The sequence below is a fragment of the Homo sapiens genome, chromosome 11 (genome assembly GCF_000001405.40).
Source record: "Homo sapiens chromosome 11, GRCh38.p14 Primary Assembly".
In the NCBI taxonomy this organism is placed as follows: domain Eukaryota; kingdom Metazoa; phylum Chordata; class Mammalia; order Primates; family Hominidae; genus Homo; species Homo sapiens.
Genome location: NC_000011.10, coordinates 105,161,724 through 105,185,899, shown reverse-complemented (window position 1 = coordinate 105,185,899; position 24,176 = coordinate 105,161,724). Strand labels below are relative to the sequence as shown.

General features: G+C 34.0%; 2 long non-coding RNA genes across 3 annotated transcripts in view; one reads left to right on the top strand and one right to left on the bottom strand.

Moving 5' to 3' along the window:
- Positions 1-24,176, top strand: part of LOC105369468 (uncharacterized) — a 383,452-nt gene that overhangs the window by 355,468 nt on the left and 3,808 nt on the right. The window lies entirely within an intron of this gene.
- LOC105369469 (uncharacterized) lies at positions 1,090-22,759 on the bottom strand. Of its 2 annotated transcripts, XR_007062872.1 has the most exons (5): positions 22,697-22,759; positions 18,634-18,806; positions 2,379-2,530; positions 1,977-2,127; positions 1,090-1,199 (listed from the first exon to the last, which is right to left on the bottom strand). It is a non-coding gene; the product is annotated as an uncharacterized LOC105369469 (long non-coding RNA). The 2 variants fall into 2 exon arrangements; XR_001748355.2 differs by lacking the exons at positions 18,634-18,806; positions 22,697-22,759 and adding an exon at positions 3,642-4,080.

Sequence of the window (24,176 nt, the reverse complement as noted above, 5' to 3'; positions counted from 1 at the left end):
CTTCTTTTAATATTTTGTTCTCACATATATTTGCAAGTGGAGAATTCCTTTTTGGCAAGTATACATGTTTTTACAGCCATGGCTGTACTATACTCTATCTTTTCATGAAATTCTAGCTTAATACAAATTTAGATAAAGTTGATTTTACTTTGGAACTTGAGGTCCGAGACATTAATTTAACCCTCAAGCTCTCTAGTTTCTCTATTAATTAAATGAAGAAATTGTACTAGATAAGCATTAAAGCTCTTGATTATTTTTCTCTTCCCAGAAAGTTGTAAGAATATGTTACCTGCTATTTGAAAAAGATGCGTTCTGGAAGCTTATAAGCTAATAGGCAGTTTTGCATATCAGTAGTGAGTGCATATTTTTCTTTCTCCTGAAGAGCTAAAGGGTGGGCATCTGGGCCCAGGAGATAGCAGTGGATTGTCAGGCTGAACATCTTGACTCAGTTCCCATTATCTATAAATGTGCCTTTAATGATGATTTCATGAGAAGGAGGTATAAGTAATACCATTGGCTTTCCTTATATATGGTACTAGTTTTGAGATTATAACTAAAGTAATGTGCTAGGATCATTGGGTTTTTTATTAAAAGAAATAGTACCTAGAGCTTTATTTTAGTATAAGCAATGATGTTTGGCTACCTGACATAATCATAAGGTAAAATTTAGGACTAATGAGGCCTATTTCCCAAATGAAAGCAATTTTAGTAATTTACATGAGTCACCATGACAAGTTTTCCCTTGTGACCAACGCACAATTTAACTTCGCTGAAATCTATTAGAGATAAAAACAATTTCCTAGAGTTTCAAATCTTTGTGCATATTCTTTTATTTTTATTTTTTATTATTTATTTATTTATTTATTTGGGACAGAGTCTCGCTCTGTCGCCCAGCTGGAGTGCAGTGGCGCGATCTCAGCTCACTGCAACTTCTGTCTCCTGGGTTCAAGAAATTCTCTGTCTCAGCCTCCCAAGTAGCTGGGATTACTGGAGCCTGCCACCATGCCTGGCTAATTTTTGTATTTTTAGTAGAGTCGGGGTTTCACCATCTTGGCCAGGGTGGTCTTGAATTCCTGACCTCCTGATCCACCCACCTCAGCCTCCCAAAGTGTTGGGATTACAGGCATGAGCCACCGCTCCTGGCCCTTGTGCATATTCTTAATTGCTTCCAGCTATAGCCAAGCTGATTCTGGATGAACCTGCACATAGAATTAGAAGAAAAATAAGAACTCCAAGTTTATTAACTTAAGAAAATGTAATCTGTATATATATTTTGTCAAGCTCATACTAAACTTTGCAATCATTTCTACTTTCTTGAAAGCAGCTGATGGACCAAAGAGTATCTCAAGCATTATTTATCACCATCTCATTTTTTGTAGCATTAATGGTGTTCTGTTTCCTTTCCAAGCAGAAATATATGAAGTGACTTGCTTTACTGTATGGAGAACCCATGCATCATTCATAAATGGTCTTTTACATTTAACGTAGCACAATAGGTTTTCAACAATTTTCCATTTTGAATTGGTATATATCAAGTGGGTTCAAAGATGATGCTGCAATGTCCACATTTTAAATTATAGAAGCCCTCTCAACCTCTAGTCTCTTTCATTGTGTGGTATTTTATTTAATTCTGGTGTGGTGGTGGTGGTGGTAGTGTGTGTGTGTGTGTGTGTGTGTGTTAGGGAAAGGAACCTTCAAAAATAGGAACTGCTTCAGATGGATATGGGCAGAAAAAAATCATTAGTATATAGCAGTTTCCATATTCTCTTGTTTTTTTTTTACTTCGTAACTGTCACTAAAGAAGGAATATACATACTGTTAGTTTCCTACTGCTCTCTTAACAAATAGCAATAAACTTGATAGCTTAAAACAACAGAAATTTATTATATTACAGTTCTCAAGGCCAGAAGTCCAAAATCAAGGTGTCAGCAAAGTCATGCTCCCTTTGAAGGCTGTAGGGTAGAATCCTTCCTTACCTCTTCCACATTCTGATGGCTTCAGCCTTTTCAACTTGCGCCTGTGTAACTTCAATCATTGTACCCTTCTTCACATGGGATTCTTCTCTTCTGCTTCATATCTTCTCCTCCTCTGAATTATTCCATCTCAAAATCTTTAGCTTAATTATATCTGCAAAGAAGATTTTTTCTAAACAAGGTCACATTTACATTTTTCAGGGATTAGAATATGAACATACCTTTTGAGGAGGGCCATCATTCAATCCGCTGCTAATCAGGCCAAAAGCACAAGCATATAGCTAGAGGAAAATCTTATCTACTTCTCTGCATCTGGCAACCAAGTTCCTGATTCGTTTCCTTACATGGATAATTCCAATTAGATAAGAAAATCTCAATTAAAAAATATAGTCGACTGCTGCTTACCTTCTTTTTTTCTGAGGCACACAGTGTCTTGATCCTTCTACTTTCTAAATACATCTCTTTGTATCTTTCATGGCTCTCTTTTTGCTTCATTCTTTCCATTTATTTTTCTCATTTTTTCTATCTTTGGTGTATAGACCTTGACTTTACTGTAGCTAGAAGGAAAAGGAAAAATGTTTCGGTTGCATGTATATTATCCACTGCTTCAAATCCAAATCACACTGTAACCAGTTTTTTTAAGCAGGGATAGGGGTTGAGAATGTGCTGTTATGTATGTGCACAGTGAGGCCAAGTAAAAAAATTGAGACTACTAGAGAAATAAATTGACAGACAATAAAATAAGTAAAATGATTTACAACTTATTTGAAAAATATGTGATGAGCTAAAAGGACAGATTTGTGTCAGAGAGAAATTATGTGAATCCTAGAACTGGAGAATAGGGAGAAATGATTGCAAGGAGAATAAAATCAGGATAAATCACTTGACAATACCCTTCCAAAATTATCTGAAGAATTGAGAACTTCACTAATTAATAAGTTTCTACCTTAACTGCTAAATTTATATGTAAATATTTTTCCATTTTCACAAGCATTTATTGAGTGCCTACTGTGCACTAGATACTTTTTAGTGTATTGATTCTGGTATAAATTCAGAAATGCTATTGTGTTGGATCCTAGGTATGCGTGTGGTAACCAAAGTCTGCAAACTCTGTTCCCTGGTTTACACAATAGAGAAAATATAGCATATGATAGAAAAACAAATGTAAACAAGTAAAACAAATAGGCAAACAAGGAATTTTCAACTGAGTTTTGTAAAAGTCAAATTATACTCAATGGACACTATATTTGAATGGTTTAAGATGTTTGGAAATTAGTTAAATGTCAGAACAGTTTTTGTGCACAGGGTGATTTTAATAAAGATTAGAAAACTGTAATAATGCTGCTGAGGATCAATAAATAGACCTTAATATTAGAAAATAATATGGTTGTATTCTCATACTGAAGTATGGAAGAAGAATGTTATGATTAGTATAGACATTTTTTCTTGCCATGGATGTTATGTAAAAACAATTTTTAGAATTTATTGAAGCTATAACAATAGAAAGTATTTCTAAAAAGTTCTTATTCACATTCTAAATTTTCATTAGAGTCATAGGAAGCTTCAGCATAAACCTTAAGATTTTACATTTCAGCTCAAGTAATATGCACATAAAATTTGACATTTTCCAAAGAAGAGGAAAATTTCAGATCAAACGTTGATACATACTTTTTTTCATCATTGCTTTTCTCCATTCCTTAAATTCTTATTCTGGTTTAACGTCATGACAATCTCTCATTTCACTGACATTTCATAAAAAGAACACAAGGATTTTCTAATAAAGGCTTTAGAGATCTCTAATTCTTCTTTGGAAATTGGGCACTTACTTTCTGTGCATTTAAATCACTTCTAAGATAATTATCTCTCCTAGTCTCTACAAACATAAATATAACTGTTCTGCTTTCTAAGTCATGGTTTTCTTTAAGTATACTTGCTATATCTTCACTTTCTGTGCATGAATATCAGATTAGGTCTCATCAAAAGCGATCTTTGTTTGAAAAGTAATTTCAAAGCCAACTAGCATCATAACAACACATTTTAGCTTGCACCTTTCCGTCCTGCTCAGAAAACACAAGGTGATGTTTGTCACTTATATTTAGAGTCAAGTGATCTCCAAGAAGCATACTGGATAAGTTCACATAATGCCAGGTTCCTGACAAGAGTTTCTTGTTGGTTGGCTTCAGTAGCTCTTGCTCAAGAATTGCAGAAGTACATGTTTCTGTAACACATACTTCCTCAATAACCCTATTAGGTAATCTTAATATCATTTCCCTGTACTCTGGGAGGCTGTGTTTTTGCTAAAAAATCCCTTTGCTTTTTAACTTGAAAAAATAATCAGAATTTATTGACTCTGTGAATATCTTTGAATAGACCACCAAATGATAATAAATCAATAAACAGAAGCACAATCTGTATTTTTGGAAACATGTTTATATCTTAAAATAGGCTAAAAATATTGTAATATTTTAAAAATTTATATATGGCTCATCAGAAGCTCATTATTGCTCATTGTCTGCTAGAGAATATACTTCTTTAGTTCTTTGTAGGATTCAGAGCTATTTCTGGATCTCAGTTATAAGGCACCGGCTGAATCATTCACATTGTCTCTGAAACTTGGGTTGGCTCAAGGCCAAGTTGTTCAGAAGACTTTCTGCTAATCGTATTTTAGTCTTGTCTTTGTAAAAGGCTATGAATTATCTTAATAGAATATCTGTTAAGCAATAGTTTAGTGAGACCTTAGCTTTCACTTTAATAACCCATTGAAAGGAAATATAAGTGTAAAAAAGCAGTCTTTATGAGTGGTTTAGATCATAGACTCTGGACTCAGACAATCCTGATTTCTTTTTTTTTTTTTTTTTTTTTTTTTTGAGACGGAGTCTCGCTCTGTCGCCCAGGCTGGAGTGCAGTGGCGGGATCTCGGCTCACTGCAAGCTCCGCCTCCCGGGTTCACGCCATTCTCCTGCTTCAGCCTCCGGAGTAGCTGGGACTACAGGCGCCCGCCACTACGCCCGGCTCATTTTTTGTATTTTTAGTAGAGACGGGGTTTCACCGTTTTAGCCGGGATGGTCTCGATCTCCTGACCTCGTGATCCGCCCGCCTCGGCCTCCCAAAGTGCTGGGATTACAGGCGTGAGCCACCGCGCCCGGCCGACAATCCTGATTTCTAATTCTCACTCTAGCAATTGGTGGTTATTCAACTTTAATAAACCTGCACAACCTTGCTCACAGATTAATTTTTCCATTTCTACAATGAAGACATGATATCTCATACTCTCACAGTATTATTTTGGCCATGAAACAAGCTCATACTAAAATGCTTAACACATCGTACACATAAATATTAACTAATATTAAAATCTAGTTTATTCAAGAAGAATATTTTGAGAGGAGTTTGCTTTAGTCCTTGACATGACTTTCTGTACACTTCCAGGCAATCAGTAATAATAGATAGATAAATGAAGAAACTAAAGCACAATTATTCAAAAGAGATAAACACAGAACTCCTCTTTGATTAGAAGGATCTTGCCCGCACCTAGAGTAGAAACTTACTTCTTCAGAATAGTTTGTCACAACTATTATCTTGTATTTTTATCATAGATCTTATTTATTTGACTTTTAAAACAAGCATACTTTTAAAATATGTTAGAAGGGGAACAAAACTAGCAGAGCTGGGTGATATGAAAGTGACCTTAAGAGCTAATTGTTTAAAATTTTGCAAGAAAATACATATTATTTTGCAAATATTCCCTGGAATGTGCACTTGACCTATCTTTTCTTCAAACGAAGTTATTCTGGACAGACTGCTAGCATATGATAAATGTGTACTATGAGTAAGTTACTATTGTAGGACTAGCTGAACAAAGACAGAGGACTTTTTTAAAAAAGCAATCAGCTGTTTCTGGGATGTTTCACGGTCCCAAACTGGAAACATCAATTAATATGTTAAAGAGCTAATCTTTATTTCTACTTCTACATAAGTACAGGAGCAATATATCTCTGGAAGTATATAAACCATTTCTCAATAATACATAATTTTATTTTGTTCATATATTTGTGTCCTTCACACTTTGTGAAATTTACCAGCGAATGCATTATCATTCATTTTAATAAGTTTATTCCGCAATTTCAGGGGAACACAGGGCAGCTCTAGTTCTCAATACATAAAAGGAAAGCAAGTGGCCCGCTGGCTGAAAGGTAGCTATGTAAATATTAGCAAGCAGAGTTTAAATGCTTGGCATTTATCCAATTGACCAGAGGATTCTATATCTACACCATTAGAATAATCTTTAGAAGTCATAAGAGGAATCCCCCAAAGTGTCATATCCCTTCCTTTAAAAATACCATGCATGTCACTGAGTGTACCATATGGTATTTATATCACTTTTTAGTTTTATTAGTTTAATCTGAACAGAAAAATATTCTTATGTATATGGGTGCAGCAAATGGTTGAAATGATAGAACTGTGTCTAAGGCAAAGTTATTTTAAAAAAAACATACTTGTAAGCCTGTGCAACCAGATAGAACATTTTATGGCTAAAAGCTTAAAAATATATTTCAGATAGAGAGATCAGTAGAGAGACAAAATATTGATCAGATATCCAGATTATACTAGAAAATTTTATTTATATGCAGAGCTAATTTCCATTCCGTTACAATTAATATTGTTTTAGACATGTATGAAAATAATATATTAATAAATATTTATTAACGTATGCTGGGGAATGAGATAAAAAAATGAATCTGTTCTATAACAATATGCATCTCCAGTTCTAGAAAAGGTTAAGACAAAATTTAAGGCATTGAAAAGAATTAGCTCTTTATCTTCTTTTAATTTTTAGACTGGGTCCAGAATCAAAAATATATTTATGGAACTATCAGGTTGATTTCAAAATTTAATTGGTCTCTAAGATGTTGATCCAATATCTTTTTCACTTTTCACCTAAAAATAATTATTTATTATGTTATATATGTTTAATAGTATAAATCTTTTATTCATATCAGCACCATGGTTAGGCCAGAGAGTTCCCTAGAGGCAGAACGGCTTCAGTTCCCAGACCTCGGCATATAGACTTTTCTTTTGTTCTTAATTTTAGTCCAGGGTAATGGTTGACAACCTTGAAATTCAGAAGGATCACTAGAGAGATACATGCTACACTATGCTATTTAACTTTATAGACAATTTACAGGATATTCAAGGATAATTGTGATTAGTTGTCTGCTTTTTGCCTTTTCAAGAAAAACTTAGGTTCTAATCTCTATAGAACTGTGATTCCTCTCTAATTGTACCATGACATAACATGTTTATTGTACCTATTCACAGTAAATCCTAATTGCAACATTTCAATCCACTTTATTCACATAACTGAAAGCAAGGAACAAGTTTTTTTTTTTTTTTTTTTTTTGAGACAGAGTCTCGCTCTTTCGCCCAGGCTGGACTGCAGTGGCTCTGTCTTGGCTCACTGCAAGCTCCGCCTCCCGGGTTCACGCCATTCTCCTGCCTCAGCCTCCCAGGTAGCTGGGACTACAGGCGCCCGCTACCACGCCTGGCTAATTTTTTTTGTATTTTTAGTAGAGACGGGGTTTCACCATGTTAGCCAGGATGGTCTTGATCTCCTGACCTCGTGATCCGCCCGCCTCGGCCTCCCAAAGTGCTGGGATTACAGGCGTGAGCCACCACGCCCGGCCGGAACAAGTATTTTATGTGGTACTTGCAAATAACTGTAAGTCTCCAAGTCTTAAGAAAAAAATAAATAAATAAAGTTTTTATATCTGCTTAGGTTTCTAGTTTTAAGATTTAGTTTCACAAAACTTTCTCCATTCCAGTGCTAAATGCAACTCAGAGTTTTTCAAAAAAACAATATAAATGAGACTCTCTGCTAGGAACATATTCCTCAAAAGAGATCAATGGCAGAAAAAGTCATAGACCCAATTTCTATAAATAGTTTCCAAAATGCTACTTAATATAACAGTAAGAATTGGTCCAGATGGCTCTGTTTGGCTGACATGGTAACTCTTCCAGTAAATATAGACATTAGATGATGATTCATTACTATAGCACTTGGGAGATTTCATCTTCTTAAAAAAGAATCCCATTTAAAAACATATTAAGCCAACTTTGTGTCTGTCTCATTCTCTCAAAGCCAGGACTACTCTAAAGACTTGTAGGAGAGAAGACAAAGGTTCTGTAGTGATATGGTTTGGCTCCTGGCCCCAATCCACATCTCATGTGGAATTGTAATCCCCACATATTGAAAGAGGGGCATGATGGGAGGTGATTGGATGATAGGGACCGATTTCCCCATGCTGATCTCTTGATAGTGAAGGAGTTCTCATGGGATCTGATGGTTTAAAAGTGTATTCCCCCCTCACTCTCTCTCTCTCTCTCCTGCTCTGCCGTGGTAAGAAGTGCTTGTTTCCCCTTCACCTTCTGCCATGATTGTAAGTTTCCCGAGGCCTCCAAGTCATGCTTCCTGTTAAGCCTGCAGAACTGTGAGTCAATTAAAACCCTCTTCTTCATAAATTACTGGGTCCCAGGTAGTTCTTTATTGCAGTGTGAGAACGGACTAATACACGTAGTTACCTTGTAATGGAAAGAAATTAAAAATAAAACACCATTTAAACTTTCTTAACAAAGATGAAATTGTTAGTTTATAAATCTATCAGAATATGTACAGGACTTATATGCTAATTTGTAAACTCCAAAACACCAATGGAATAAATAAAAGAAGACCTAAATAAATGAAAAGATAAAACTTGTTTACAAATTGAAAAATCCAAACAAAGATGTTGTCTTCATTTTTTAATGCATTATATATAGTTATTAATATATGCACATATATGTAGATAGATGTAGATATAATGTTTTATGCTATTCCTATGAAAACCCAAGCAAGATTTTTCTGTAGATATAGACAAGATTATTCTAAAATTTAGTTGGAAACATAAATGCTAGAATAGTTAAAACAATTTTGAAAATCAAGGGAAAATGTGATAGGAATAATACTAAGTTTCAAGACTTATTATGTAACTATAGAAATCAAGATTGTGTATTATTGGCATAGGGATAGATACATAGATTAGTGAAACAATAGAGAATCCAGAAGTTGTTTTTATAAAGTTCAATCAACTGATTTTTTTAAAAAAGGTAGAGAAGCAACTGAATAAAGGAAGGACAGCTTTTTCATTAAATGGTGCTGAAACATTGGACATCTATAGACAAAAATACTTCCATACATACGTACATACATACATAAATACATATATGGATACATAAAAATTATAAAAAAAACAAGCCTTTAACAAGCTTTAAAGTTTATACAAAAATTCACTCAAAATGGAAAACAGGTTAACTGCAAAATGTGAACTTATAACACCTTTAGAAGATAACATAGAACCTATAATCCCAGCACTTTGGGAGGTCGAAGTGTATTGTTCGAGGTCAGGAGTTCCAAACCAGCCTGGCCAGCATGGCAAAACTCCGTCTCTACTAAAAATAAATAAATAAATAAAAATTAGCCAGCTGTGGTGGCACATGCCTATGACCCCAGCTACTTGGGAGACTGAGACATGAGAATCGCTTGAACCTGAGAGACGGAGGTTGCAGTGAGCCAAAATCACGCCACTGCACTCCAGCCTGGGTGACAGCAGGACTCTGTCTCAAATAAATAAATAAATAAATAAATAAATAAATAAATAAAATAACATAGGAGAAAATATTTGGGATGTAAGGCTATGTGAATATTTCTTAGACACAAACCCACCTATAAGAATATAAGAAGAAAAAAAGTAACAATCTGGACATCATTCAAATTAAGATGATTTATTCTGCAAGGCTGTTCAGAAGGATATAATGACAAATTGTAGACTTTAAGAAAATATTTGCAAACCACGCATTTGTCAAAGGACTTATATCTAGAACATATAAAGAACTCTAAAAATTCTACAATAGAGACAAACAAATAAACAGTTCAATTAAAATGAGCAAAAATCATAAACTAATGCTTCTGCAAAGAGCATATCCAGACGGAAAATAAGCACATAAAAAGATAATCAACATCAGTGCCCATTAAGAAGAATGTAAATTATGAACGCCATGAGATGTCATTACACTCCTAGCAGAATAGTTAAAATAAAAAATACAGGATGTGGAAAAACTGGATCTCCTATACATTGCTGATGAAAATGTAAAATGGATCGGTCAGCCTGGAAAATTTTATCAGTTTCTTAAAAATTAAACATCACTTATCATAGGAACCAGCAACTGCACTCTTGGACATTTCAACAGATAGAAAAAGTCCATTTGAAGCACTGATCACTAAAAGCTTAGTGTTTGCCAGAGTTTAGGAATAGTGAGAGTTAGGTGGGGATGGTAAAGGCGGATGTTTAAAATGGTATCATGAGGGATAACTTTGTGGTGATGAACTGGTTTTGTGTCTTTACTGTGTTGGTTATAGAACTCTACATGTGATGGATTGACAGAGAAATACACACCTCCTTAAACAAACATGCTCCACCAATGCCAATTCGCCAGGGAGCTTTGATATTTTTCTGTAATTTTGTAAGGTATAACCATTTGGGCAAACTAGATAAAGAGTAGAGGGGTAATCTCAGTACACTCTACTGCAACTTCCTGTGAATCTATAATTATTTTTAAATGTTTAAAAATTTTAAGTTTTAATGTTCTGTGAAATAAAAGTCATTAGGAAAAACTGCACACTGTAGTTTAGCTTTAAGAATCAAACATATATTATTATATTAAAGTACACATTGTGTTCAGTGAAGAAAAAGTATTTTGGTTAAGACCACATGTCCCAAAACTTTTGATCAAAGAACACAAGTTGAGCATTTTCCTGTGAGGACAAAATGGTGACTAGCATACACAGCCCATGTCTGAAGAGAATAAGTGTGTTTACTTGAAAGAATGTATAGGGAAATTGTACAAACACAAGAAAAGTCATGATCTGCTTATTTAGTTAACAGAATTGAATAAAGAAGAATGAAAAATAAAGTTTTCAACCATTTTTTCCTGGAATTTAAAGTAGACACTTGATAAAAAAGACACTTAAAAGGATATTCTAAACTAGACTTAAAAATGAAAATGGGAGAAGCCTTTGGAGAACATGAAAAGATAAATAAATGTACTGTAGCTATCCATAGAAATTCAATTATGTTATCCTGTTTTCAGGAAGTAGAGGTTAGCAGTATTTTTCATAGTGCTTCCTGAACAAATTGGTTTTCTACTTTGGCATTTTTGTGACAAAATAATTTCAGTTCTTATGAGTCTTCATTTCTCTTTCCTATATAAAAAGCATAGAAGATTGTCTTCCACGGTTTTCAAAGCCATTTTCCTTACAGTGACTTCCCTTTAGTCAAAAAGTCGACATTGTTTGAAATTTTACATTTCCTTACATATAAAAGAGTGTTCCAGCTGTACAACTAGGTACAATTTTACAAAATTCACTTTAAAAGTTTTGACTGAAAATATTCTCCAAATTTGGGAATAAGTAAATTTTTCAGAATAACAATTGCTTGAAATTATTTTTAATACTAAATCAATATTTGCAGTATATTTTAAAACGTTTTACAGGTTTGGTATAAAGAATAAATTAGATAATTTTAAATAAAATATAGAATCTTCAGATGTGATATTCTAGAAAAGTCTGCATTATTTATTTTAATTCTTAATTCCTATAACTAGACTTTATTTTTTTTTAGCAGTTTTAGGTTCACAACAAAATTGAGCAGAAGGCACAGAGATCTCCCATATAGCCCCTGCAGGTTTCCCATATACCAAATACACAGCTTTCCCCGTTATCAAGATCCTTCACTAGAATGATGCATTTGTTACAATAGGATGAACCTACTTTTACACATCATCGACCAAGGTTGCTAGTTTGTATTTGGGTTCATTCCTAGTGTTGTACATGAAATAGGTTTTGACAAATGTATAATGACATGTACCCACCATCATGGTATCATGCAGAGTAGTTTCACAGCCATAAAATGGCTTGTGCTCTGTATTCATCCCTGTCTCCCCTCAACCATTAGCAACCAGTATTCCTTTTTCTGTCTCCATAGTTTTACTTTTTCCAGAACGTCATATGGTTGTATCATATATCACATATCCTTTTCATATTGTTGTTTTTACTTCTTTTGTGATTTTGCTAATTTGAATTTTCAAAATGATAAACCAATAATCATAGTATAATTTATTGAGTCTTCCTTTGCCACTATATATTTTTTAATTATTTATTTGTAATTTAAATTTATTTTTATATTGTGTTTTCTTTAAACTCTAATTTTAAGTTGGGGAAGAGGTATGTGTTACATGTTGTTGAGATTAAATTTCTACTTAAGACAAGTTATTTGTCTATCCTAAATTTTATATGCCACTGATTTGTATAGAAGAGAATATTTAATTATTAAGGTGTTCTAATATTTTGATAGTTTTATTAAATTTTCTCTGCCTCTTTTTAGCAATTTAAATATTATTGCTTTCTGCTGGATGAATTCCAGTATTACTTTATTTGATTACTCTAAGATTTGCCTGCAATATTATTGGAAATGTAGAAGTTCTATCCATTAATTAGAAACGAATTTGCATCTTCTCTGTACTTGCTTTTTAAAAACATTATAGAAAAACATAACCAGTTAAAAAATGATAATCAATAATCATGTGCCCACACTAGCTTAAAAATCTATTGGAAGATCTAGTTAATACAAGAAAACAAGGAAAGGAAATAAAAAGTATAATTGGGAAGGAAAAAATGAAACAGTCTTTGTGCAGTGATGACAGGATCATCTCTGCAGAAAAACCCCGAAAATCAGCAACAACAGCAAATCTCCTAGAAATAAAAATAACTTACAGCAAGATTGAAGGATACAAGGTTAATATACAAAAGTCATTCACTTTCCTATATATAATCAATGAACAAATGAAATTGAAATAAAAAACATCATTTACATTAAAATCCCCAAAATGATATATTTTGGTATAAACCTAATAAAATATGTATAGGATTTATACATAGAAAAAACTGCAAAAGTCTGATGAACCAATCAAAGATTTAAATAAATGGAGAGATATTTCATGTTAATGGCCATGAAGATTCAATATTGTCAAGATATCAGTTCTTCTCAACTTGATATATAGATTCAATGCAATACCAATCAAAATCCCAACATGTTATTTTATGAATATTGACAAACTGATTATAAAGTTTATATGGAGGGGCAAAAAACCCAGAGTAACCAATTCAATATTGAAATAGATCAAAGATGGACGACTGACACTACTGAATTCAAGACTGACTACTATGGCGCTCCAGTAATCAACATAGTGTTTTATTGGTGAAAGAAGAGCCAAATAGATCAATGGAAGAGAATAGAGAACTTAGACCCACAAAAGTACAGTCAACTGATCTTTGATGAAGGAACAAAATCAATACAACCCAAAAAGGTAGCCTTTTCCAAAAATGGTGCTGGAACAACTGGATATTCAAGTGCGAAAAAAAAAAAAAAAAAAAAGAAGATGAATCTAGAAACAAACTTTGCATTCTTCATCAAAATTAATGCGTTATTGATCACAAATATAAAATGCAAAACCATAAAACTGTTAGAAAATAACAGGAGAAAAACTAGATGACCTTGAGTATAGCAATAAATTTGCAGATACACCACCAAAGGCAGAATCAATGAAAGAAATAATAAACCGGAACTACAAGAAAGTAAGAGAAGAATCCACAGACTAGGAAAAAATATTTGCAAGACACATATCTGATAAAGAACTGTTATCTAAAATATACCAAAAAAGAAAAAAAAAACCTTTCAAATTCAACAAGAAGAAAACAAAAGAACTGACCAAGTGGTTATGTATTTGAGTATCTTCCTACTGAAGAGGAATAAGAAATAAGACAAAGCAAAAACAAAACAAAACAAAACAACAACAACAAAAAAACCCCGCAAAATTAGACAAAGATAATTCAGTGTCTGGCAGAGCAGAGATCATTTTAAAATAATTAAATAAAATTTCAGGATGAGGAATCTATGTTTATAAAGGAGATAAAGAAGTAGTAAAATCGCCATTTCTGAAAATATTTAGTCTTCCTCTATACATACCCACAAAGGATGTTGTAGAAAGAATGGAGTTATAACTTGATGACGCCTACATTCTTATTAGACGTTAATTACATTATCTCTCTCTCTCTCTCTCTCTCTCTCTCTCTCTCTCTCTCTCCTTTCACCCCTCTCTCTTTCTCAGCAGCTGTTAAAAAAAATAAAAAAGGTCAGCAAAACTATAAAAACTCTAGAAAACCTAGGAAACACCAATCTGAACATCAGCCCTGGCAAATAATTTATTCGTAAGTCCTCAAAAGCAATTGCTACAAAAACAAAAATTGACTAGTGGGATCTAATTAAACTAATGAGCTTCTGCACAGCAAAAGAAACTATCAATAGAGTCACAAACCTACAGAGTGGGAGAAAATATTCACAAGCTATGCATCTGAGAAAGGTCTAATATCCAGAATTGATAAGGAACTTAAACAATTCAACAAATAAAAAACAAATAACCCCATTAAAATTTGGGCAAAGGGCATGAACAGACACTTTTCAAAAGAAAACATACACGTGGCCAACAAATATATAAAAAAAATTCTTATCATTAATAATTATTACAGAAATGAAAACCAATAACATGTCATCTCATATCGGTAAGAATGGCTATTATTAAAAAGCCAAAAAACAACAGATGATAGTGAGGTAGTGGAAAAAATGGAACACTTATGCACTGCTGGTGGGAATGTGAATTAATGCAGGCACTATGGAAGGCAGTTTGGAGATTTCTCAAAAACCTTAACACAGAGCTACCATTTAACTCAGCAATTTCACTAGTGGTTGTATACTCAAAGGAAAATAAATCATTCTACCAAAAACACACATGTACTCATATGTTTATTGCAGCACAATTCATAATTGCAAATACAGGGAATCCTCCAAAGTTCCCACCAATGGTGGACTGGCTAAAAATAAAAATGTACATATACACCATGGAAAACTATGCAGCCATAAAAAAGAATGAAATCATGTTCTTTGCAGAAACATGGATACAGCTGGAGGCCATTATCCTAAGCAAATTAACACAGAAATAGAAAACCAAACATTACATGTTCTCTCTTGAAAGTGGGAGCTAAATATTGAATACACATGGACACAAAGATGGGATCAGTAGACACTGGAGACTGCTTGATGGGGAGTGTGGAAGATGGGTGCGGGTTGGAAGGCTACTGATGGGTTACTACACTCACTTCCTGGGTGACAAGAGCATATGTACACTAAACCTCATTGACACGCAATTTATCCATGTAACAAACCTATAAGTGAATCTCCTGAACCTAAAATAATCATTAAAAAAAAGATCAGAAAGAAAATGTTACTTATTTTGATTCATTAGGCCCATGACCTGTTGAATTCATCCTGGAAACAATGGATTTTAATAAGAATAATGGAGAAAAAGGCATTTCAGCACCATAAGATACAATTTACTCACAAATATTACAATATCTATGTCAAATATTTATTTTATTAAAATTGAAATTCAGTTTAAGGATGCATTTGTCTTTAAAAATATTAAACAGATCTTTCTGCTATTTTATTTTATCTTTAAAAAGAAGAAAGTGTATTCTCCACACTCTACGATGAACTCAAACAAGTCAGCAAGAAAAAAACAAACAATCCCATCAAAAAGTGGGTTAAGGCATGAATAGACAATTCTCCAAAGAAGATATACAAATAGCCCACAAACATGTAAAAAATGCTTAACATCACTAATGATCAGGGAAATGCAAATCAAAACCACAATGCAATCCACCTTACTCCTGCAAGAATAGCAATAATTTTAAAAAAATCTGAAAACCATACATGTTGGCATGGATGCAGCGAAAAGGGAAGACTTCTACACTGCTGGTAGGAATGCGAACTAGTGCAACCACTATGGAAAACAGTGTGGAGATTCCTTGAAGAACTAAAAGTAGATCTACCATTTGATTTATCAATTCTACTACTGGGTATCGATCTAGAGGAAAAGAAGTCATTATTAAAAAAAAGATACTTGTGCATGTATTTTTATAGCAGCCCAATTTGCAATTGAAAAAATGTGGAATCAGTCCAAATGCCCATCAATCAAGGAGTGGATAAACTATGATATATATATATATGATATTATATATGATCATATATGATATATCACATATATGATATATATATGTGATTATATATGATTATATATATGATTATATAGATATATATGATGGAATATACTATTCAGCCATAAAACAGAATGAATGAATGATATTTGCAGCAACGTGGATAGGATTGGAGACTATTATTCTAAGTGAAATAGCTCAGAAATGGAAAACCAAACACAGGATGTTCTCACTCATAAGTAGAAGCTAAGCTATGAGGACGCAAAGGCATAAGAATGATACAATGGACATTGGGGACTCAGGGGAAAATGGTGGGAAGGAGGTGAAGGATAAAAGACTACAAATTGGGTTTAGTGTATGCTGCTCGGGTGATGGGTACACTAAAATCTCTCAAATCACCACTAAAGAACTTACTCATGTAACCAAACACCACCCGTTCCTCAAAAACCTATGAAAATAAAAAAATTAAAAATAAAATAAAATTGAAATTCAGTTTAAGGCTGAATTTGTCTTTAAAAATATTAAACAGATCTTTCTGATATGTTATTTTAACTTTAAGAAGATGAGCACTTTGGGAGGCTGAGGCAGGCAGATCACCTGAGGTCAGGAGTTCAAGACCAGCCTGGCCAACATGTTGAAACCCTATCTCTGCTAAAAATACAAAATTAGTTGGGTGTGGTGGTGCATGCCTGTAATCCCAGCTACTTGGGAGGCTGAGGAAGGAGAATCACTTGAACCTGGCAGGCAGAGGTTGCAGTGAGCTGAGATCGTGCCATTCCACTCCAGCCTGGGCCAAAAGAACGAAACTCTACTCAAAAAAAAAAAAAAAAAAAAAAAAAAAGAGGAGAAAAATATTATCCACTCTCTTCTCAAGGTGTATTCAAATTACTATGAAGAGTTCTTTAATTTTGACATCTTTTCCAAAATGTTGCCTTTGTTACAAGCTGTCCTCTCTCCATTGTTGTAGTGAATAGGCCAATAACTTTGGGTGCATGATGAGTCCAAGCAATGGAATTTGCTGGTTATTTGTCAGTCACCTATTTGGTGAAAAAGATGACCCATTTCCTTCCAGTAACAGTTGGCAGTCATTTACAGAGTTGCTGTTTGCTTGTCTCTTTGATTTTTCTTCTTGTGAAATAGAATGAAGATGGGAAAAGCACTAAGTGCTGCTAAAATCTGTGTACAGTCCAGACTGTCCTTTTCTGGCAAAGAAATGCTACTTACTTCATTTATCTTGTAATCTGTGACAGTGCTTCTTAGAGAGACCCAGTGGGTAAAGATTAAATACCAAAATTAAAATGTCACTTGGTACTTTCAAAGTGAGACTATTACTTGTATTTTAATTTTTCTAATGAGCATTATCTATTTACTAAAATTAATAAGTTTAAAAGAGTAGTAGTCTATTAAAGAAACCCAGATATCTTTTGTTACTGAGCAAAGGCAAAGTTGAAATTTTGACATTTGTATGGAAGAAGAAAGAGACTGTTGAAAATGAGCTGGAAATGATTAGCAGAAAAGAACTCCTCCATGTTAGTAACCAAGTAACCAAGCAATTAATTAATAACACTCATTTGTTCATGCAGCCATTCATTCAACAAATATTCACGGGAGCTAATTACATGCTAGCATCAAATTTCTTTCAAGATTATAGTCCAGTGAACAGTATATATAGGAGCAAGATATTTATCCTTGACCCCAAAGGAGAGTGCATGACATACAGAATAGGAAGTGATGAAAAGGACGGCATATCTGTGTTCTACGAATTGTGTTCTCAGCCACCTTCCTTTGCCCTGCCCACGCCTTCCTCCAGTCTACATATTGAGCCCCGACTATACACAGATTAAGATTGTGTGTCTAGAATAATCTGAATGCACAGTAACATTTCACTTGCCTGGAAATTAGAATTCCAGCAACTTTCAACACACTCAATAGTAATCAACAAAAAATAAAAATTCTTATAGGACATGACTATTATCTCCACATAAAGCATTATTAGACTGAGATTTAATGGTGGAGTAATCGGAATATTTCAGAACATGAAGAAAATAAAATTGATTTTTGTAACTATTATGATCCAGATGTATGTTAAATATGTTGAGTTACATGATCAGATGTATTCAATACAGTAACTGTTTAAACTCTTGTCACTATACTTACATATGAAATAAAAGGCTCAGAAATTGTAAGATCAAACCAAATTTAAACTTCAGTATTAACTCAAAGCTCATGAAATGATCCTACCATAAAGGTCCTTATCAGATGATTTCTCATGTTATAATATCACTTGTGTATATTACGCAATTGGTTTTGGAAAACAAATTTTCTTAGAACTTGGTTATAAAATGAAATTATGAAAAAGTTAAAAAATGCTGGGAGGAATGGAGAAGAAATTAGAGATTTAAAATATGTAACTTCTAAAAATAATAAATAAAGGCAATTTTAACTAATTTAGCTACTTACGTTGCTTTTGAGAAACGATGATTTTCATTTTTCATGAAGAGTAAATTTTTGGAAGCGAGACAGTGCGGCTCACCCAGTCATGGCCTCTGTTCTACCAGACTTTTAGTTTTTCATTTGTTTGTAGTGATCTTCTGGATTTTTAGAACGCTGGAGTCATTGCTGACATCTTGGTCCTGTAAAGGAGAGGAAAAATGTCAGTTCTAAAGCTAATCCCAGTGTGTTCTCTACACATATTTTTTAACCTTCTGGTATGGGTATCTATTATGTTTTAGAGGGCATCTCACATTATATTAGCATACCTATTTATCATATTGTATTAGTATTATATTGTAATATATTTACAGAATTCTTGGCCAGATACACAACAGAAAAATTATAGAGAATCTAAATCATTATTTTTGTTGGTCTATCAGTTGCCAAAAAGTACTCACTTATTATGTTTCAATAATTAGAATGTGAATGAAAAAGAATAAATATTTGAATGTTGTTTTAACTTTCTTGTTTTGATCTGCTAAAATATGACTGTTTCTAACCCTGTAATTTTCCTGTTGGTCCTTGATATTTCTTTTCCTGCTCTACCCAGCACTGAGCTTCTCTTATATCTTTCCTTCCCTGCATTGGAATTATTTTGCAGTGTGTCTATCGATTTCTCTAACAGAGTATGTTTTATCATATTAATTTGAAATCTTTTCCATTTCTGTAGCGTTAATATTTCCTCTTTGATCTATAGCCTTCTTTTAGATTTTGCCCAAGGTCATATTGTAAATCTAGAATCCATACACATACAAAGTGTTATTATGATATTATAGTTACACAGTGTAAACCAATACATTTTTCTTATGTGCTATAGAGATACAATTGAAATGACAAAGTGATGGATAGACAGCTACACTCCGCTTTGTACTGATTATAGAACAATCAACTCTGTGTTTCATTTTGTTAGTTCCACCACGTGTTTAGTAAATTCATCTAAATTACTTGTTTCCCTTAGAGTTATTTCCATATCTAGAAAAATTTAAATGCATCTTGGTATTTTCATGAAATAATACAATACAGTGCTCTAAATAAATTAGGATCTATGAAATGAGAGAAGAAAATCTAGGTCACTAATTTTAGTTCATATCAAATCAACATGGCTTAGAGGCATTACAATGCTTTTTAATTCTCTTTGTCTTTAGCAGCTCAAAAATCTTTACAATTTTTAGGTGATTCTTACACAAAACCTTTGTGGCAGACAGATGGCTAATTTAACTTATGAGAAAATGAGAACAACAAGAAGTCAAACGATCAACCTGAACAACTAACCAATGAAAAAATGAAAGCAAATGTAACTCTATTCTCTTTGTATTACTTTTTATTTTGAAAACAAAATCCTATGAAGTTTCTGATTTTGAAAATAAAATTCTCTAAAGTTATAATTATAGCATATCATTGTTTCCTGACTGCTCTGTTCCTAGATGTTTTCACTTACTCAACCATAGACGAAGAATAGTAAGTGTAGAAAGGATGCCGTGAGCCTATTTTGGTAAGTTTCTAGTTTTGGAACTGCTGCCCAAATGTATTTACCACTAAGAAGTATATAGTGTAATAGTCCGTATATTTAAAAAATAATTCAGTTTTATTATGTGCTCTGTGCAGAGAAATTAAAAGTACAAAAATGACAATATGGACTTATATATATATGTGTATATATATGTATATATGTGTATATATATGTATATATGTGTATATATATGTGTATATATATGTGTATATATATGTGTATATATATATGTGTGTGTATATATATATGTATATATATAGTGGAAATGTAGGTGGCATTTCTCTTCTATTTAAAATTTTTCCATAGTTTTCAAATTTTCCATGGTGAAATTATATTGATTTGAGGTAATAAAAAATACTTAAGGCCAGACATGATGGCTTACACCTATAATCCCAACACTCTGGGAGGCCGAGGCGGGCGAATCACCTGAGGTCAGGAGTTCGAGACCAGCTTGGCCAACATGGTGAAACCTTGTCTCTACTAAAAATACAAAAATTAACCGAGCATAGTGAGGGGCACCTATAAGCCCAGCTACTTGGGAGGCTGAGGCAAGAGAATCGCTTGAACCTGAGAGGTGGAGGTTGCAGTGAGCTAAGACTGTGCCATTGCACTCTAGCCTGAGTGACAAGAGCAAAACTCTATCTAAAAAAAAAAAAAAAAAAAAACACTTAACCATGGCATCTTTTCTTTCACTAGAATTCTTTCTAAAGCCCAGTATGGTGGCTCACACCTGTAGTCCTACCTGAGTCAGGAGGATCACTTGAGCTCAAGAGTTTGAGGCTGCAGTGAGCTATGATTGTGCCACTGCACTGCAGCCTTGGTGATAGAGTGAGACCATGTCAAAACCAAAAAAATTATTGCTAGTAATAATTTACCATAATCACCATAATTAGGAATCAATATGTACAGACACACATACTGTATTGAAATTTAAAAAGCATTTTATATCTGTTTATACATTTTTATATAAAAGTCTTCTACCCTGAATCTATCTTTTTATTATTTAGTATGTCACTTTCTAAAATTTTAAATTTAACAAACCACACATAAAAGGTTAAAGCACAGTCTGCCAAGAAATTCAGACAGGGATAAAACATTGAGAGTCCAGTCACTAAATCTAAATAGAGAAACAAGGATGGGGTGTATGTCATCCAAAGGATTTAATTTTGTGACCTCTGAAAGTATTGTTGAGAAACAGAAGGAACAAACTCCTTTTGCCAGACACGCTAAGTTGCCATCCAAACAGCCTTGCGTTGTACAATCTCAATTGCTTTTTAAAGGAACATCCTGTTCAAATAATGACTATGTACTTCACATTCATCCTTATACAAGAAAAGGTTTATTATGACTCATTTATTTTCTTGGAAAAACCCATCAACATCTCAATTTATGTTACACTGAGATAAATAAAGAATCACATTTGTAATACAAAAAAGCCACAGCAGCAGCACAGAATTCGCAATCAAGCAGGCTAACAAATTTTTTCTCAAGAAAATATTAACAAGTTTTCAAACCGTTTCTGCTCCCACATCCACAGCATGAATCCTTATGTTCTCAGTTGGTTAAAATTGTGTGTAGGTATCTGCAAGATAGTTATGATCATTGAAAAAACATGGGCGACATTCATGTCATTTTCTAATCAATCTTAAATTTTAACACATCTTACCCACCAAAGCAAAGAGAAAATTCCAAGGTCCAATTTCTCAGACTTCTCCCTTTCCTTAATTCTATGTGTTATTCACACAATGACTAAAATGATTTTTCAGGTTGGCCACTTACGTGGCTCTACATCTCTAGCTCCATATCTCCTGAGCTAAATTCAGCACATATATTTACCGTGATGTACTGGTTGATCATCTTTTATCAAACCTGGTTTTTGTATGGACGAAAACTAAAGCCAAGTATTATTTTCCTACTTCTGAAATTTCCCAACTCAGGCTTCTTCCATGTGTCAAGTTAATTAATTGCTCACAATGACAGAGACTTGGAATCTATGTATTTCTACTCCCACCCCTGGCCTGCCCTTCTCTCATTGGATCTGGAGAGTGATCTCCTTCACCCACCTTACACCCTTATCAGAGAAAATGGTTCTGAAAATCTTCAGCTAAGAAAGTATCTTGTATGCAAGTATGCAGAGCTGGTTTGTCCTTTCCAAAGGACAATCTTATCCTACATAAGACTGAGACTGGGGAAAGACAGGAAGCATGCTGAATGTAATTAGGAAGTAGGTAAGAATTTGTTTAATTTCCTATTCCACAGGAGGCCTGGAGTAAAAGAGTATTCTTACATAAACACACTGATCAAAAAGAAAGGAACAGTATGTTTTTCTTTAATTCTTCCTTTACTTGTCCCAAAGTTGGTGGACAGAGCCATGAAGGATCTAAAAGAACTGATATTTGAGGACGTCTTGATAAAGATAATGCCTGTTTTCAAAGTAATTATTCATCACAAGTTGGTGAGAGTTGGAGAGAGGCGGAGAAGAAGAGAATGACAGAAATATGGAAGAAGAAATGAACTTACTGGCGGAAGCTTGTCTGACCAGCTTTGCCTCTTGACCAGGACGCTCTGCATTCCTTGGCTGGTGAAAGACAGGATGATGAATCAGGTATCCCACTGGACTTTTGGAAGAGGATCTTAAAGTCTGGATGGATCTAGGTCTTTATTAATGCATTGCAATTCTTTTGTTATTCTTTGATTTCTTGATTGGGCCAAATTTGACTGACGTCAGTTCTTCACATGGGAAGAGCAGCATGGACTGTAAGCATCATAAGGAAGATCTTGAGGGATTTACTTTTCTCCTGAATGAGATCAAGATGAGTTCTCAGGAACTGAGGGCCTTATGAGGTGGAAAGAGAGTGCTGCATCTTTAAAGACTAATCAGATGACAAAGGAGACCAAAAAGAGGGTAGCACACATTTATATCAACACAGCTACACAGTTCTGACAGCACTAGAGCACAAGGAACAGGAGTCCTCCAGAAAAAAAAAGAAGTGAAAACAGGGGAAATTCAATTACTAATGGGTCATTCTTGTGGGAACTCCGAACCATTATAAGAAAGAAATGGATGACACCTCTCATCATATGCATGACTTATGGCAATTTATGCTTTCAGCAATAATTTTCTTTATTGAGTCAATGGGCAATGACATAACCTATGGCCTGTTAGGAGTCACAGAGCTAAATCAGGAGTAGACAGAAAAATGGTGGAGATAAAAATGATACCCCAATAGACTGGGTTTGGCCTCTAATTGACACTATCATTTGGAAAGGACACCTCGTCAGCCAAATTTTTATCAACTAAGGTATGTCAGAAACTTGTTTCTTGACAGCAACCTACAATTCTCTACAATTATGTTTCACTAACTCTTTTAAAGGTGGAATGCAATAGTCACTAACTATATCTTGAAGTCCAATATATTGTTTCCATATTCTGTTGGTCAAGTAACAGACCATTCAGTAGCCCATTTTAACCCAGTATTTTTTTTACTATTACACCCTAGTTCCTGTGTCTAAGACCATAGGATACACTATCCTGTGTTTTCCTTGTTACTGTGACACACCTCTTAGGTTCCTTTCCCCTGCTTGACACTGAAGAGCTTCTTTCTTTCTTTCTTTTTCTTTCTTTCTCTCTCTTTTCTTTCTCTTTCTTTCTTTCTTCCTTCCTTCCTTCCTTTCTTTCTTTCTTTCTCTTTCTTTCTTTTTTTCCTTCTTTCCTTCCTTCCTTCCTTCCTTCTTTCTTTCTTCTTTCTTTCTTTCTTTCTTTCTTTCTTTCTTTCTTTCTTTCTTTCTTTCTTTCGTTCTTTCTTTCTTTCTTTCTTTCTTTCTTCCTTTCCTTCTTTCTTTCTTTCTTTCCTTCTCTTTTTTTTTGAGACGGAGTCTTGCTTCGTCTCCCAGGCTGGAGTGCAGTGGCATGATCTTGGCTCACTACAAGCTCCACCTCCCAGGTTCAAGCAATTCTCCTGTCTCAGCCTCCCGAGTAGCTGAGACTACAGGCACCTGC